Source organism: Homo sapiens, chromosome 2, assembly GCF_000001405.40.
Source record: "Homo sapiens chromosome 2, GRCh38.p14 Primary Assembly".
In the NCBI taxonomy this organism is placed as follows: Eukaryota; Metazoa; Chordata; class Mammalia; order Primates; family Hominidae; genus Homo; species Homo sapiens.
The window spans coordinates 50,051,580-50,068,872 of NC_000002.12; the positions used below are offsets into that span (position 1 = coordinate 50,051,580).

Below are 17,293 nucleotides of genomic sequence, written 5' to 3' on the forward strand. Positions count from 1 at the left end.
AACATTAGCAAAGAATGTTAAATGGAGCTATTGGGCAAACATAAATCTTTCTAAAGTCACAAGTCTTTATCCAAGGAACTAAGTGCTATGATGTTATTGGCAACCTTATAAATCCTAACGAGAGAAAATCAACAAAAGGATCACATTGCAGGCAAACAGTCCTACTAAAATGTATATTCTTTGAGGGCAGGGGTTTCGTTTGCTGTTACCAATATATCCTCATGCCTAGAAAAGTATCTGGCACATGTAGACAGTGATCAATAAATATATATTTGTGAACACCCTATAAGACATCCCATTTTATTTTGTAGCCACATGCAAATAGGAAACGAAAAGAAAAGAGAGAAAAATGAAAATAAGTGCACATGTAGGTACAATATATCCAACACTACATTTAATTTGCATTTTTTGTATTTTTTGCCCATCCCTCTTCTAGGACATTTTCTCTTCATCTATTCTGTTCCTCTCACCCTTTTCCATTCAAAGTAAAAATCAGAGTCAATTTTCTTCATTTTCTGGGAAACATGTTAATTCATATTTGGGGTGCTGATACAAACAGAATTTGCCTTCTATTATTTTCCTTCCAAACTGGATGCAGGTCTGTTTCAAATGCAAGAAGTAAAAGCAAATTTAAATATAATTATCATTCTTGCTTCTTCAGAATGCATTTTTCTGGAAAAGTAGGGATCGTGTATTTGGAAAAGCTTTAAATGGCACCTACTGAATATACTCACTATCAGTAAAACAGAACAAAACGAAACAATTAATTTTGGACCAAGGATAATACACAATTCTGAAAAAATTAACAACTGGATACATACAAAGGCTGCAAATACCAACAGGAATCTAATGGCATTTGAACAGCATCTAACAGCATTTCGAATAAGGTTTTTTTTTCCCTGTGTTCTTCACTGATGGAACACCAATATTCAAACCAGTGCCTGAAATGTAGTAGGCAATCAATAATTATGTCCTGATTGAATTAACATACTTCCAAGTTGTGCAAATGCCACATTTAAAAATCATATTCTTCAAAAATTTTAGGCACAAGATTGAAATAAGCTAATTAGAGTTAATTGTAGGTGAGGGCAATTAATCACATACACAAAATACCTCATATTTTGGGTTTGTGTGCTCAGATAAACCAATAGAATGTTTTTTTATTTTTAAATAAATAGTGAAAGAGTATACCCATCATTCACCAAGAAAGCCACATGGCTGGCTATCAATTCAAAACTTTAAACTTCAAAATACTATAGAAGTATTGTACTATTAAAATATCTCTTTTAAGATTAAATTTGCCTTGATTTTATTTTGAAGTGCTGAGCTTAAACAGACAAGGTTTTCAAATATTTCATTAACTTGTTCATTTAAACTAAAAAGTGAAAATCCTATGTAATTAGCAGACGATCTACTCAGCTTGGGCCAGAGGAGGGTTATGGAATCAAGACTATCATTTAGCATCTAACAAACCAAAACAAAATCTTTTGTAAAAGTCCACAAACCTCTAATGAACAACATACACACATTTCATATTCAAACGGAATGCATTATGTTAAGCTAGTTTCAAAGGAAGCTGTAGTGCCTAAGATCAGAAAAATGTTCCAATTTAGAAAAGACGCATATGCAGAAAAGCCCACTATCATAAATAATATAGGATGAAAATGAAGGAATAAAATCCACAGGCTCACCTGGCTAATGGGTTCTTTTGTCGGGGGCTTTCCTCTTCTGGCTGTGCTAGTAGCCAGGGTCGTGGTAGTCTCCATAATTGATGTGGACATCTCTGATTGCATGGCAGTGGCTGTTGACTCAGTTGTCATAGAGGAAGGCACTTCACCAACCAGTCTCACATTTCCCACTATGGCGATGTTGGCATCGTTTTCGGCTGCCATATTCAGAACTTTCAAGCCATTGTAGTACAGCCCAGAGAGCTGGCCCTGGAAGGGCTGGCCCTGCTCTTTCCCGCCAATTATTATGGTTGCTTGGCTATTGAAGATTGTGAGCTGACGCCCTGTAAAAATAATATTACATACATGCAAAAATGTTGATTGTGAACTCTATATCTACAATGGATGATAAAACAGATCTTTTATGGGGTGAATAATGAGAGCAATAAACTATAAGAGAGGCATTTGACTCATAATTCATTGCTTATAAATGAGGTGTCCATGAAATGCATAATTATTGGCAAATACTTGTAAATTCTCAACTTATTATAAATGTAGTGCTTTTGCTAAAAGACCAATCAAAGATATGTATTACAAATCAGTTTTTAGTGGATCCCTTTTCCCTTTTACATCAAGATCTTATATTGTTGGTGTCTAAAGTCTAAATTGTTAAATTTTAAAAATGTAAGACAACATTTCAAGTATTTGTCATTCTGAAATTACCACTGACAGAAACTAATACATAGCAGCTGAAATCTAATTTAAATTTTATGGTAAAAATTTCATAATTCACATAATGTCCACATATATCTATATGTTATTCTTTAGTGCTGTTTATTTTTTGAAGGCAATTATTCATTGTTATTTGAATTATTCTATTTTTCCGGCAATCACACTGAAAAGAAATTCATGGTTTACACTGAGCATGTCAGAGACAAAAAAATTCCAAAAATATTTTTCTGATTGGCTTTCAGCAAGTCTATCAAAACAAAACAAAATGAAAAAAAAAAATAGCTTCAGATGTAAAAAGCGGCTTCAGGAATGATACACAAACCGATGGAGAAATTATGGCACATTTCCATCAAACAGCAATCCTTAATAACAGTACCATTATCATCAAATTGAGTATCCAGTTTTAGCAGATTGCTCTCTGCTCATAAAAGCATGCACACAACTTTAAGTTCAGTTTTAATATGGGCTTGTTCCCAAATCCTCTTAGAAGGTTGCAAATGTTAAAGGGACTTCATTATGACTGGCAATTCATATTGCCCACTATTTAAGATTCCTAGAGTTTAAACAAAGAGTTTTTGTTTTTTTCAGGACCATAATAAAGATATCAGAACTACATATATTTTAGTTAATAATTTAGAGGCTGGAACATGTAATATAGTCTATGAATGATTTATCATTTTGGGTTAATGCTTGCTGTGAGTACCCTCATAGATTGAGTTAGTGGATTATATTTAACAGTCCCTTTAACCTTAAGTTAACTGGGTAAGATTATTAAACAGCTGGTACGTCTAAAAATGTATAGAAATTATTATACAAGGTATGCAAATATTACTATCTACATTTTACTGTTTTAAAGTTGTTTTTAATTTAGTTTTACGGAAAATTTATTTTTTATGTTTATTAGTGTTACAATGAAGTACTACTTGGTTATGTTCAAATTATTTTTTTATTTGAAGTTTTAATCAATGTTTTTTACCTTTGTCGAGTAGCCATTCATCAACTACTCGACCAAGTCGATATGGAATTCGCTGTCTAGCAATCGCCAGGCGCTCGTTATCATTGTTTCCTTTAAAGTTTAAAGAGACATTTCATTGGTTAAAATCTGTAAGGTCAAAGGTTAAAAGTTAATACTTAAAGATTGAGCTATACAGTTGCCACATGATTTTTTGAAATTTGGAATTTTAAAAAGTTCTACCTAGAACATTTCATGTTTCAGACTTGTCATTCATTCATTTATTTTATTTTAGCAAACAAAATTATTCCTATGTTAATTGAAAATTAGAAATCTGCATTTGAGCTAGGTTATTAAACTTATGTTATAGACAGACCCGAACAACCAATTTAAACAGCATATAATAGCTTTACAAAAAATGACCAATGACCTCAGGGTTTTGTCTTTTTGATGTTTCTTATTAACTAGTTAAACATGTTCAGGTGAAACAGGTTTAAGTTTTCAAAATACATTCAACCTCTTATTCCAGATTAATAATTTATGATCACCAAACTTAATACCATATTTGGCACACTGAAGCATCTACAATAGGCCTAGCATACTTTATTTCCTAGTCAGAAAACAGAAATTCTTATTCACCTCATTTAAGAAAACAACAAAGTCCAAATAGTTCTTGTGTATTTCACACAAATTGATTTATCAATCACTTGGACATCACAAGAGAATGCATCTTGCATCATCCAGATACGTTATTACAGGAAAAGGCTTTGACAAAAGTCACTTTATTTGAGTGTCCTTGAGTTTCATTTAAAGCTTAACATGTTGAAGCAAATAACATTTGAAAAAATAATTATATGTATGTTTTTATATAGTCAAATATCTGCTTTTTATTAAGTTATTCTTTAAAAGCATGACAGCTTAAGGAACGAATATAAGCCACAAACAGTGGCCCCTATTCATAGATCTAACCTAAGTGAGAGCCCTGCTTCTTTGCATAAAAAATTATCTGCTAGAAACACTGTTTAAATTGACCTTGAATATTGCTTGCAAATAGATGAGTGTTTTCTTGATCTGTAGAGCACTTACGAAGAATCTGAGACACCATCTCGGTGTTGAGTTGTGTATAATGCAAGAAGAGATTTTCTATTCCATTAGAGTTAACTAACATGGAAATTTAAGCCAAGACATTTTGGCATTAGCTCAGATGAGGACTCAGAGGTGAAAGAAATGTTGAATGGTAGCACTATCTGCATAAAAAGACTGGAGTGTTTTGTTAGAGAAGATAAATGAATAGATTTACATTTTATTCCTCTGATTTACAATAATTTATAAGTGCTTTCTTTTGCTACTCTTATAATACATTATACTTACCACTAATAAGCCCAGCATAATACTGATTACACACTTTTGGAGAGATAGAAAAGAACTATCTTTTAGACCTCATCAATTTGTCATCTGAATGTCTATATGACTGAAAATATTTCACACATTAATATTTAATTTAAAATGTAAATATCAAAGTCAAGGCAAATATAAAGTTTAATGAAAACATTAATATGTATTTCTCTGTATTCTGTGATCACTAAAACATTGTAAAATAATATTTTATAATGTGGGAATATAGTTTTGTTAAACTAATAATTTTTTTAAAAGGACACAAATGGTACAAAATTCCAACCCTGTCTTCATTTTTTAAAAGTGTACAAAATTTGTGTTCTCTGTTGTGTGTTTGCATATATGCATATTTGGAATTTTTTTTTAATGTAATATTAGTTACTTTAGGACAGTGTGATTATTGATCAATTACATGTTTTTGGCTTATAAGTGATTTTATATAATAAGCATGTTTGACATGTGTAATTTGAAAAGCAATCACAAAATATTTTCAAAAATACATACCCTTTGCTCTATAGTCTTATTTGTCACTCAATACTCATACCAACTCACATTGGCATAACACTTCTGACAACTTTATGATTAGGTGGTTCCTCATGTTTTTCATGCTAGAGTCTTCCAATCATCAGGCATGACCCACATTCTCTCAGACACCATCCGAATCTAGGTCGCAAATCCCTCTTGCCCAATTACTACTACAGTCTATTGACAGACCTCTCTACATCTTCTCTGTGATTAATCACACCCATTTTCCATATAAGCCAATATCTAATCATGTCACTTGTCTAGTATAACCCTTCCCATTTCTCTTAGGATAAAATCTCAGACCCTTAGTGAAATTTGTAAGTACTTCCACAATCTGGTCCCTTCCTACCTCCCTGTCCCCTCTCACGGCCATCACTGCCTCACTCTGCTCTTTTTATCCTTATGAGACTTCTTTCAATTCTTCCAAATCTTTTCTTTCTTCTCTCTGGGACTTTGCACATGTAGCTTCCTTTATGGAAAATACTCTCCCTTGTTCCCACCTCATCTCTATCTTTCATTAGCTAACCATTACTAATTAATGGAATCTTCTTGGTAGGAACATTGCTTCCCCAGAAGGTATTCCCTGATGTCATCAGGTTACATTAGGACACTTGACTATATTATTTGTAGCTCCTGAAACATGCCCTTTAGAAAGAAGCATTGAACCTGTAATGGCAAATTTGATAGTTTGCCTTCAAACTCTGAATATCCCTCCATGAGGCCAAGTACTATGCTACTATGTGCAGTATTTATTATTTCTTCAGTGCTTACTTGCACAATATCTATCACATACAATCCTATTAATATCTGTAGAATGAGGTAGTCAAGAAAACCTTGTTTTTAGTTCTGGTAGCTTCTGTTGCACTATTAACACATTCTTACAACCTAACAACATTAAAAAGAAAAAGAAAGCAAATACTAGTGTCCAGAGAATAAACCACTTGTAGCTAAGCCTCCCTTTGCACTTTCCAAAGGAAACACCATAAACCTCACTTATAATTTTATTTTTTGATGAATTGTCACTGATTTGAACATCTCTACAATCAGTTCATTATTTGTTTAATAATAAATTCCCCATGTCACAAAATTGGTAAACATAGTTATTATTAGTAGGGAAAGGTTGGGGAAAAAAAGGTCTAAACAAGACAGGTAGAGAAAAATCAAAGCTTTATAGATTATTTTAATGACTTTTAAAAAGATCACATAAACACATAAATACATTCACACATACATACATAGAATTTGTCCTCAAACATTTGACTAGTACTAATAAAATAATTGTGTGATTGATATAGTATGACAGTATGATGTAAGTCAACAGAAGCTTTGGAGATCCTTGCTGAGACTCAGCTAAAGCAAGAACATAAACACTGAATTCCCAATGATTAACAGAGGTCACCTAACAACAACAATAAAACAATTTAGAAAATCGAATAGGCAGTAGACACAAGTTATGAAAATATGTGATAATATATAAGAAAGGTAGCCACACAAGGGGGTCATATCTTCCTACTACCCCAGAATATCAGATGCCTACTAATTCAGTGAGCACTGTTTTAAACTGAAGAACTTTTTAATTACAGGACAGACTTTATTCTTGTATGGGTAATGAATGGAAAATCAGATGGTGCTTATTCAATTCAATATATACCTACTTTATTCTCTAAATTCTTTGTTCTCCTACTAGAATAAAAAACTAATGACTTTGTTCTCCTATTAGAATAAAAAACTAATGACTTTTCTGCTGCAAAATTATATGCAGATACATTGTGATATGGTTTAGCTGTGTCTCCACCCAAATCTCATCTTGGATTGTCGCTCCCATAATCCCTACAAGTGGCAGGAGGGACCCAGTGGGATGTAATTGAATTATGGGGGTGGGTTTTTCCCATGCTGTTCTCATGAGAGTAAATAAGTCTCACAAGACCTGATGGTTTTATAAATGGCAGTTCCCCTGCAGATGGTCTCTTGCCTGTCACCAAGTAAGACATGACTTTGCTCCTCCTTCACCTTCTGCCATGATTGTGAGGCCTCCCAACCATGTGGAATTGTGAGTCCATTAAACCTGTTTTTCTTTATAAATTACCCAGTCTTGGGTATTTCTTCACAGCAGTATGAAAATAGACTAATATAGTAAATTAGTACTGGTAAAGTGGAGTACTGTTATTAAGATACCTGAAAATGTGGAATTGACTTTGGAACTGGGTAACAGGCAGAGGATGTAACAGTTTGGAGAGCTCAGACAAAGACAGGAAGATGTGGGATAATTTGGAGCTTCCTAGAGACTTGTTGAATGATGTTGACCAAAAAGTCTAGGCTGAGGTGGTCTCAGATGGAGATGAGGAACTTATTGGGAACTGGAGCAAAGGAAATTATTGCTATGTTTTAGCAAAGAGACTGGCAGCATTTTATGCCTGCTCTACAGATCTGTGGAACATTGAACTTGAGAGAGATGATTTAGAGTATCTGGTGAAAGAAACTTCTAAGCAGCAAAGTGTTCAAGACGTGACTTGTGTGCTCTTAAAAGCATTCAGTTTTATTCATTTATAAAGATACAGTTTGGAATTGGAACTTATGTTTAAAATGGAAGCAGAGCATAAAAGTTCAGAAAATTTTCAGCCTGACAATGCAATAGAAAAGAAAAACCCTTGTCCTGAGGAGAAATTCAAGCCAGCTGAAGAAATTTGCATAGGTAATGAGGACCCAAAGGTTAACTGCCAGGACAACGAGGAAAATGTCTCCAGAGCATGTCAGACATCTTCACAACAGCACTTCCTATCACAAGCCAGGAGGCCTAGGAGGAAAAAATGTTTTTGTGGGCTGAGCCCTGGGTCTTGCTGTTTGTGCAGTCTCAGGACTCAGGTGTCTTGCATCCTAGCTGTGGCTAAAAGGGGCAAATGTACAGCTCAGGTCGTTGCTTCAGAGGGTGCAAGCCCCAAACCTTGGTGGCTTACATGTAGTGTTGAGCCCGTGGGTGCAAAGAAGTCAAGTATTGAGGTTTGGAAACCTCTACCTAGATTTCAGAGGATGTATGAAAACACCTGAATGTCCAGGCAGAGGTGTGCTGCAGGGACAGAACCCTCATGGAGAACTTCTGCTAGGGCAGTGCAGAAAGAAAATGTGAGTGGGAGCCCCCACACAGAGTCTCCACTGGGGCACTACCTAGTGGAGCTGTGAGAAGAGGGCCACTGTCCTCCAGACACCAGAATGGTAGATCCACTGACAGCTTCCACCATGCACCTGGAAAAGCCACAGACACTTAACATCAGCCCATGAAAGCAGCCAGGAGGGAAGCGGCTGTACCCTGCAAAGCCACAGAGGCAGAGCTGCCCAAGACCATGGGAACCTTCCTCTTACATCAGCATGACCTGGATGTAAAACATGGAGTCAAAGGAGATCATTTTGGAGCTTTAAGATTTGACTGCCCCACTGTATTTCAGATTTGCATGGGGCCTGTAGACCCTTCGTTTTGGCCAATTTCTCCCATTTGGAACAGATATATTTACCCAATGCCTGCACCCCCACGGAATCTAGGAAGTACCCACCTTGCTTTTGATTTTATAGGCTCATAGGCAGAAAGGATTTGCCTTGTCTCAGATGAGACTTTGGACTGTGGACTTTTGAGTTAATGCTGAAATGAGTTAAGACTTTGGGGAACTGCTGGGAAGGCATAATTGATTTTGAAATGTGAGGGCATGAGATTTGGGAGGGGCCAGGGATATGGTTTGGCTGTGTCCCCACCCAAATCTCATCTTGAATTCTAGCTCCCATAATCCCCATGTGTCATGGGAGACACCCAGTGGGAGGTAATTGAATCATGGGGACAGGTTTTTCTCATGGTGTTCTCATATAGTGAATAAGTGTCATGAGACCTCATGGTTTTATAAAGGCAGTTCCCCTGCACATGCTCTCTTGCCTGCCACCATGTAAGACATGCCTTTGCTCCTCCTTCGTCTTTCTGACATGAATGTGAGGCCTCCCCAGCCATATGTAACTGTGAATGCATTAAACCTCTTTTTCTTTATAAATCACCCAGTCTCTAGTATTTCTTCAAAGCAGTATGAAAATGGAAACATTGTGAAGACACATCTAAATAAAGTACAGCGACAATGTCTTTTTAATAGATGATTCCCCAAATCCTTCCACCATTAGGTATAAAATAGTTCAGAATGTTTAGGTTCTCCAGCGACTAGGCCTATATTTTTCCTTTACCTCATGATTTTCATAAAAATGTTGCATACTAAAAGGGGTAATGGAAGTATATTATTTTAAATAATTTCTCAAGATGTATTTTATTTCTTTACAAATTCATGGTGATATTTACTTGTAAAATATCATTCAGTAGCTTTGCATGATTTTGCTGATTATATTTAATACTGTCCATTGTTCAATATACATCTAGACCTTACATGCAATATAAAGGATATAAACCATTTGATTGGGAAAGGTCAAAGGCAAAAATAATTTCCAATGACCTTTTCTTTTCTTTGGAAAGGTTCAGGATCTAATATCAAATATGCTGGGATATAGAAGCTTTACATACAGCATTTGTGAATGGTCAGTGTAAGCAGGCTTAAGCTGGTAGGTGAGATGAAAAACAAGTGGAATGTCCCTGAAAATTCAAATCAAAACAAAGTTGAATCTTTCGAAGAAGACATTTTTACCTTCAAGTATTCTAAATCAGAGGTAAGGATAAAGCAATAAATGACCCACTTTTCAAAGATCTATACATTCCGGGCTATAAAAAGGGTCCAAAAGGAATTTCATCTCTTTCTAAAAGCATAAAACTCTACTATAGCAACATGCTGAGCAAATAGGCTTGATTTATAAAAGCAGAGCCTTCTCATTGAATAGTTAAAAGATAACAATTTAGTCTCACACTTTTCCCATGATAAAAGCAAGATAGGATTTTCCTTTGATTTCTTTTTCCTCCAGTTAATTTTGTGTGGTTTGATCTGTTGGTACCTTCACTGAAAATGTCAGTGACAACATACATGCCTCTGCCGAAGTAATTTTCAAGCAATGAAACTGCATGTAAAATTTGGTTTTATTTTCCTTTGAATTTCAAAAAGAATTAAGTATTTTTGACAGGAGGAAAGACTCCCTTCCCCCCAATCCCTGTAGTAATGCCATTGCAACAAGGTACAATCTCTAATTGTAAGGTATTAAATGTCATTGTAAGGTATTAAATATCATTAATACTTCAAACAAGTTTCCTGGGGTGAAGAATTCAAAGGAAAATCTGATGGCTTATATTTGGAATGTATACCCTCTATTTTGATTAAATCCCAGATAATTTTATTTGCCTATTTGTATAGACTGAATGTTTGTATCTCCCAAAATTGATCTATTGAAAACTAATTCCAAATATGATAGTGTCAGGAGGTAAAGCCTTTGGGAGCTGATTAGGTCATGAGGAAAGAGCTCTCATTAATGGGATTAGTGCCCTTATAAAAGAGGCTCCAGAAAACTCCCTTCCCTCCTTCTGTGATACGAGGATACAATGAAAAGATGGTCACCTGTGAAGAATGAAGCAAGCCCTCACTAGAAATGGAATCTTGTACTTCCTAGTCTTCCGAATTGAAAGAAATAAACTTTTATTGTTTTTAAGCCACTCAGTTAATAATATTTTATTATCATTGCCCAAATGGACAAAAATACCATGTAACAATATTTGGTCACATTTTAGTCTATTTATTCTATATGAACAAGCAGACTTCCGGGAAATGAGAGTAATTACAAAGAATCAAGGTAAGTAGCACAAAGCAATAAAACTCAAATCCTTGACTTGGAGTTAAATTTCATGGTGTGACTCAGAGAACAAAGATAAATACAATTTTAATCATATTGTTATAACTATCGATCAGTAGAGACAAGCTATATGAACATCACTGATGTATAGTTTTTCTCCTTTCATTTTAGTTCTTCACTCTTGTGTAATTTCTCCTCAGAAATAAAAGTGTCAGCATTTGATATGACATATTAATATCTATGGGGAAAAAGTAAAGAAAAACAATGCTATGAACCAAACATTTGTGCAGAATAATATGAAAATAAAAATAACAAGAACAAAAAGAGACTTGCTTCTTTGGAAGGCTTCTTATTTCTTGAGTTTTTAACATTGGGAAAAGAAACACAAAAGGATTCTGAAAGTCATCTATACCACAAGAGAAGATTAGTAACCTGTGTACAGACTGATTTTTAAATGAGAACAAGACATTTGGATATATCTAGGCCCAGAAGGCAAAGTAATAGTTTTGTAAACATACTCTGATTTTAAGTGCAGCATAATCACATAATTTTCAACTGAATGCAATGTGTATTGTTGTCATATAGACCCTGCAAATACCATAATGCCTCACTTGGCTGATAATGTTCCAAATAAATAGATTTTGAATATCGACACCTTTTGAGAAACAAACTTTTGAAAAATATAGCTATTCTAATAAAACATTTGTCTTATATATTACTTTATTTCCTATATCATTAAAATGTAAAAGCCGAATACACATATATAATTGGCTCCAGCTTACTCCAGTTTCATCTTGAACTACTTTTCTCTGACTCTTTAAATTAGTCACTTTGTAATTTTTTCAATTCCTTTAGCTAAGCCAATCCACTTTGAACCCGACATTCTCCTTTGCATTGCGAATTTCTTGCATCCCTGTGTACTCAACATCTCTGCCCACCTCAACAGACACACACACACACACACACACACACACACACACACACACATCTAAGGCTGGCTAAATTTTTTCTTTTTTAAATATCAGCTTATACATTTCTCAAGGAAGCATTCCCTGTGTCCCCTACTGCTCCACCAAATTATTCTACTTAATGAATTCTTCCACTATGCATTCTTAAAATACTTAGTAGCAATATCTATAATCATGATCAAAGAAGTTCATGTAATTGATTCTAGATTCTAGATTCCTTGTGAGCAGGAACCATGTCTGTCTTGTTCAATGCTGTACGCCTTATGTATAACACAATGGTGAGCACATGGTAATTGCTTGTTAAGTAATTTCTAAATGAAAACTGAACCCATACAGTTATGCAAAAAATACCACTTGAGGTAATTTTTTGCATGATAACATAGTGGTATTTCTTGTTCAAGATCCATAAGGCAGTGAGATTGTTAGTGTCCACTTACATATATGTATATATAGTCACAAACACCATTGGATTGTGAGAGGAATAGAACTTTGCAAAACGTTATAGTAAATTTTGCTTGGACGTCAGATTTCCTTTTTTCTTCTTGACCATTTAGTGTCCACTAATTACATATGTGTGCATGTCTATTTAGTTTATTCAGTTTACCAGACACTAAACTAAATAGAGATAAAATATGTGTCTCTATATATAATATATATAATTACTGATTCATTATATATATAAAATGACTCAGTAACTCTGCTTATCTTTCATCAATTTTGAATTTGCCATTGTAGTACACAATAGGACAAATCTTTTAAATCTTATTTTTATGATTAATTACAAGTCAATGATTTATAGTCTGAGGTGAGCTCTACTGTGGTGCATACACATTAGCAGAAAAATTAATACCACGTGGGATCTTCTTTTTTTTTTTCTAATTGTGTAGAGAGCTGATCATGACAATCTTTGATTTGGTCAGGGGGAAATTTCTGCAAGTGCTTCAATTCTCTAATGACTGTGTACAAGAAACAGTCTTGGACTTGATGAACCTTCAAAATATGTATCATCTCCAAGACTATATTTTCTAGATGAATTTTAGTGGTGAATTCTTTCAAATAAATTGAAATGTTGATACTCTGGTTTCTCTTCACATCGTATTAATCTTTTACTAAATTGAATCTTTTACTAAACTGAAATGTTAACCCTCCAAGGAGCATTTACTTCCAAAGTTCATCAATAAATACATCAATGCCTTGTAAAGAAAGCAACATTCATTTAACCAAGGCAAAAATGATACAAAGTTGAAGCTTATAAAGTCAGGTAGTAGAAGTTATGGATCTTCTAGCCTTTGTAACATGAGGGCAGAGGGCTTCTAGAATTTGCCTGATTTGTGGCTGATAAAGAGCAGCGAGGGGCTTGGATTGTCTTCTGGACTTTTAAGACCTCACTGAATGATGAACACACACTACCAGAATCAAAGGATGGTTTTTGTCAGACAGCAGGACTAGACCAGACAGTAAAGCTACAATTAAGTTTCATGCATGCTGGGAAATCCAGTTTTTCCGTATGAAAGTGGTCTGTAGGTAAAGAAACTGAAGAAAACAAAGGACCACCAGAAAATAAGAAAATAATGTATTGAGTAGCTTCATGTTTTATGCATTGTGTTACTTGCTTATTTAGGTTATCTTGTTTAATGCTGATATTGATCCCAGACCATAAGTACCTTTTATTTTACTGATGGAAAAACTGAGGCTCAAAGAGATGACATAAAACTAATGCTGCATCATACATCATAGAAAGAGGGACCATTTGAATCAAGATAAAGCTGACTCGAAAGTTGTTCCATGGAATAGTTATAAAGTAATATCTCTTAATACCGTGAGTCATAAGGGCCAACATCTTCTCCTTAATCCTTATAGCACTCTTTTGTATAATGTAAGATGTCATTAAGGCTTGTCTACAAAGTTTCTGTCTTCTAGATTCTGGGGTGAGATCGCCCTTATGGACACATGAAATCAGTAATCTTCCCTAAATCCTCAACGATTTATCAGGAGGATAATTTTATCATCTCCATTTTATAGATTAAGACAGTGAAGCAGAGGTAAGTAAAGTGATCAAAGACCTATAACAGTGGAGATCCCAGTGAGAAGCAGTATTTTGTTTTTTTTCCTTTTATAATGATGCCTTGTATGCATAGCTACTGGAGGCATAAAATGTTCCAGACATTCCTTGTCTTTACCTCTAACCTATAAGAAAAGCCACAAGCATAATAATCCACTAACTTCAGTGCTTTTTGGACGTTGAACCTCTCCAGAAACACGTTGGAAATGGAGAGAGGATCCTAGTTGTGACACAAAAGACCACTGTACTTCATTGACTTGTCAGAGAAAAAGAATATTGTAACATGTTACAGTAAATTTTGCTTGGACGTCACATTTCCTCTTTTCCTTCTTGCCTATTTCTTATCTCTGCGTTTCCTTTTACACAGCTCCAGAAACCCAGTGCTTTCATGCCACCTGTCAACAACTCAAGGCGTATATTTACAACTGCGGTTCCTACACATATCTCATGTTCCAAAAATACTTCACCTTCCTTCTTCTCTAGTGCCAATAATTAAACCCTGGTTTCTTTAGTATAGCTCGGCTAGATGTTAGAAAAGCAATCGGACTCAATAAAGTCAATATATAAGCAGTGCCCATGTACTCTGAAATTATTGTACTCTGAAAGGCACACATCAATACATCACATGGATTCTATTGTTGAAGAGCTTACACGTTGTCTAGGGAGTCAAGGGGACAAATGAGGAAAGTTAAAAAATAAAAGATTTAAGTAAAAGTTCAAGATAATAGATAATGAGACATAAGTACGCAATTAACCACCATGTGAAGTGTAGTTGCCATAGAAGTTCAGAGAGAACAATGGATTAGAGCAAAGAAGGTGTGATGGAACACAAACGATTGCACCTAGATCACAATCAAAATGTCATTGAAATAATAATGAGCTAAAAATTTTTCATAATGTGAATATTAATCCTCAAAAGGTTGACAATTGATCATTATCCTGAACTTCATAATGCTATTCACCCAACATCTATTTTTAAATAAATAGACTCTCCAATAAAACATATTTAGTCTCAAAATATAATTACAAGTATGACCAATAATGGTTAAATATTCATGTCACGAACCATGAAAAAAAAGAAAAAACTCTCATAAAACTACTAAGTAAAATGCACTGAAAATCGGCAAGAATTTGAGGGCAATGTGTAAAAGTGAAATATTTGTGTTAGGATGGAGAAATTAATGGTGACCTTTTTTCAAACTTCAATTTTATATTATTGATACTGCATGTATGCACATTTCAACTTTGTTCCCACTGCTTCCTTAAACACATACACACACGCTCATTTCTCTAAATTAAATGCGATATATTAATGTAATGCTACAGGAAGAGGGGGTGGTGCAACTCAAGAGTTCTGTCAGTCATTCTCACAGCTAGAAAGAGCACGCACAGCTCAAGTAGGGTGATGCGCTGTTCGTGACTAATGCTTCAGATGACATCCCAGCTCCTTATGTGAAACAGCAGGCTTTTATATCCAGTTAAACAATATATTCATGTGAGACTGCTGTGATGTTGGGCGTAGAAGGCTGCAGGCTGTCTACTGCAGAGTTCAATGGTGCTTTGGGGAAGAAATTAGAATCTTAGTGCATGTCTAACTAGCTTAAGTAATTTCTTCCTTCACATCCCTCTCTTATGTGGATTTACATTAAGATATCTAAGTGTTTTACACAAAGATTTGTACAAGCACTTGTTCCCACTAGCTACTTACATTCAAAAATTTTGGTTTGGATATTGTTTCATCAGATTAATTTGAAATAAATACAGGTAACCTTGTGAATTTTGGATCTCATTGCCTGTGTGGAATGAACAGTGATTTAAATTTTCTTCCCTACACCTTTAAATGCTGTTTGTTTCCCATTGCAAAGGCACTGGAGTATCATATCAAAAACCAGCAGCAAGAAATGAAAAGCAGCAGGGACAAGCAGGTAACAAAATACAGAACTTACTCTGATAAATTAAAGGTCATACTCTGTTATCATGCATACTAAAGAGTTATTTTGTGCCAGTTGTGTAGCATTTAAGACAGAAGAATGGTTTAACAGCTACAAAAACAGGCAGAGCCATTGATAGACATCACTAAATACTGAGAATAAGAAAAATGAAAAGTAAGAGCAGCCCCACATTACCTTACAAATGGCATTTTGCCATTTTCCCAGATATGAGAATCTTGAGTACTTTCTAAATCATAATGTCATAACATTTAAACCTATCCGCTCTAATAAAAACCTAAATATATATTTTTTCTAAAGTGTCTTTTCCCAGTTCTTGTTTTTTGAAAATTGGAAAATTATGTGGTTCAGCTGAAATTTCTACACTCCATTATCAGTCTTGACTTTTAATCTAGTCTTCTTAATATTCAAATTGGTCCACGGAAAAAAAGATAGGTGAATGTTTCATACACAGTCTGATGTGGCCTATAAATGGAACTGCGAAAGTTCCCTATTCTCAAGTGGAAAAGAAAAGTCTGATTATTATGACATTCTGATCTTATTTTCAATGGACTTCAATCTCTCTCTTCCAGTTGTAACTGGAATGCAAGATTTTTTTTTCAATTAGAAAGATGAGGTTTGTCCATTGTATGCAAATAATTTAAGATTAAATGGTCTGGAATTGCAAAGGACCAAGAGTTGGATAAAGGTGCTGGATAATTGCTAGCCCCATTCAATTTTATAAAATGTAAAACCACTGAAGTAAAATAACCATTTTTTTCTTTTTGTAGATAAATTGAATACTATGGATATGAATTTAAATTCCTAAAATAACTTTCCCCTAATACAAGTTAATTTTCTCTACCACCAATTATTTCTTAAAAGTAATTATCCTGTGGTCAGAATCACTGAGGAAAGAGAACCCTTGATGGTTAAGATAATGAGCTCTAATTCCTAGGTTCAAATCTTGGCTTCAATATTGACTAGCTGGATCAGTAGCATAACATCTTTTAACCTCAGTTTTCTCATCTGTAAAACAGATATTTGTAAGAATAGTATCCATAATATATGCCAATCTCTTAGCACAATGCCTGGCACATGGTAAGCACTCAGTAAATATTAGCCCTTATATTGTAGTCATGTCATTGTTTATTCTCTAGTATGATGTGCCTTACACAATATATCTAAGAATGTGTACATCACAAAAAATATTTTTTTTACCCATCTGATCATAGAAAGTTGAAGTAAATGTGAAGAAGAGTGGAAAATAAATCTATTATCTTTCCCAGAATGAGTAATGGCCAAAGAGTGAG

At 34.6% G+C, this 17,293-nt stretch overlaps 1 protein-coding gene across 19 annotated transcripts in view; it reads right to left on the minus strand.

Annotated features, from left to right (window-relative positions):
* Positions 1-17,293, minus strand: part of NRXN1 (neurexin 1) — a 1,113,630-nt gene that overhangs the window by 133,077 nt on the left and 963,260 nt on the right. For 11 of the 19 annotated variants that reach the window (NM_001330084.2, NM_001330093.2, NM_001330094.2 and 8 more), the window contains 2 exons: positions 3,376-3,465; positions 1,692-2,011 (listed from right to left, as the gene is read on the minus strand). In NM_001330084.2, the coding sequence (NP_001317013.1) occupies positions 1,692-2,011; positions 3,376-3,465 (410 nt within the window). The remainder of the gene's footprint in view (positions 1-1,691; positions 2,012-3,375; positions 3,466-17,293) is intronic. The other 8 variants (NM_001330096.2, NM_001330087.2, NM_001330083.2 and 5 more) reach the window with 1 other exon arrangement.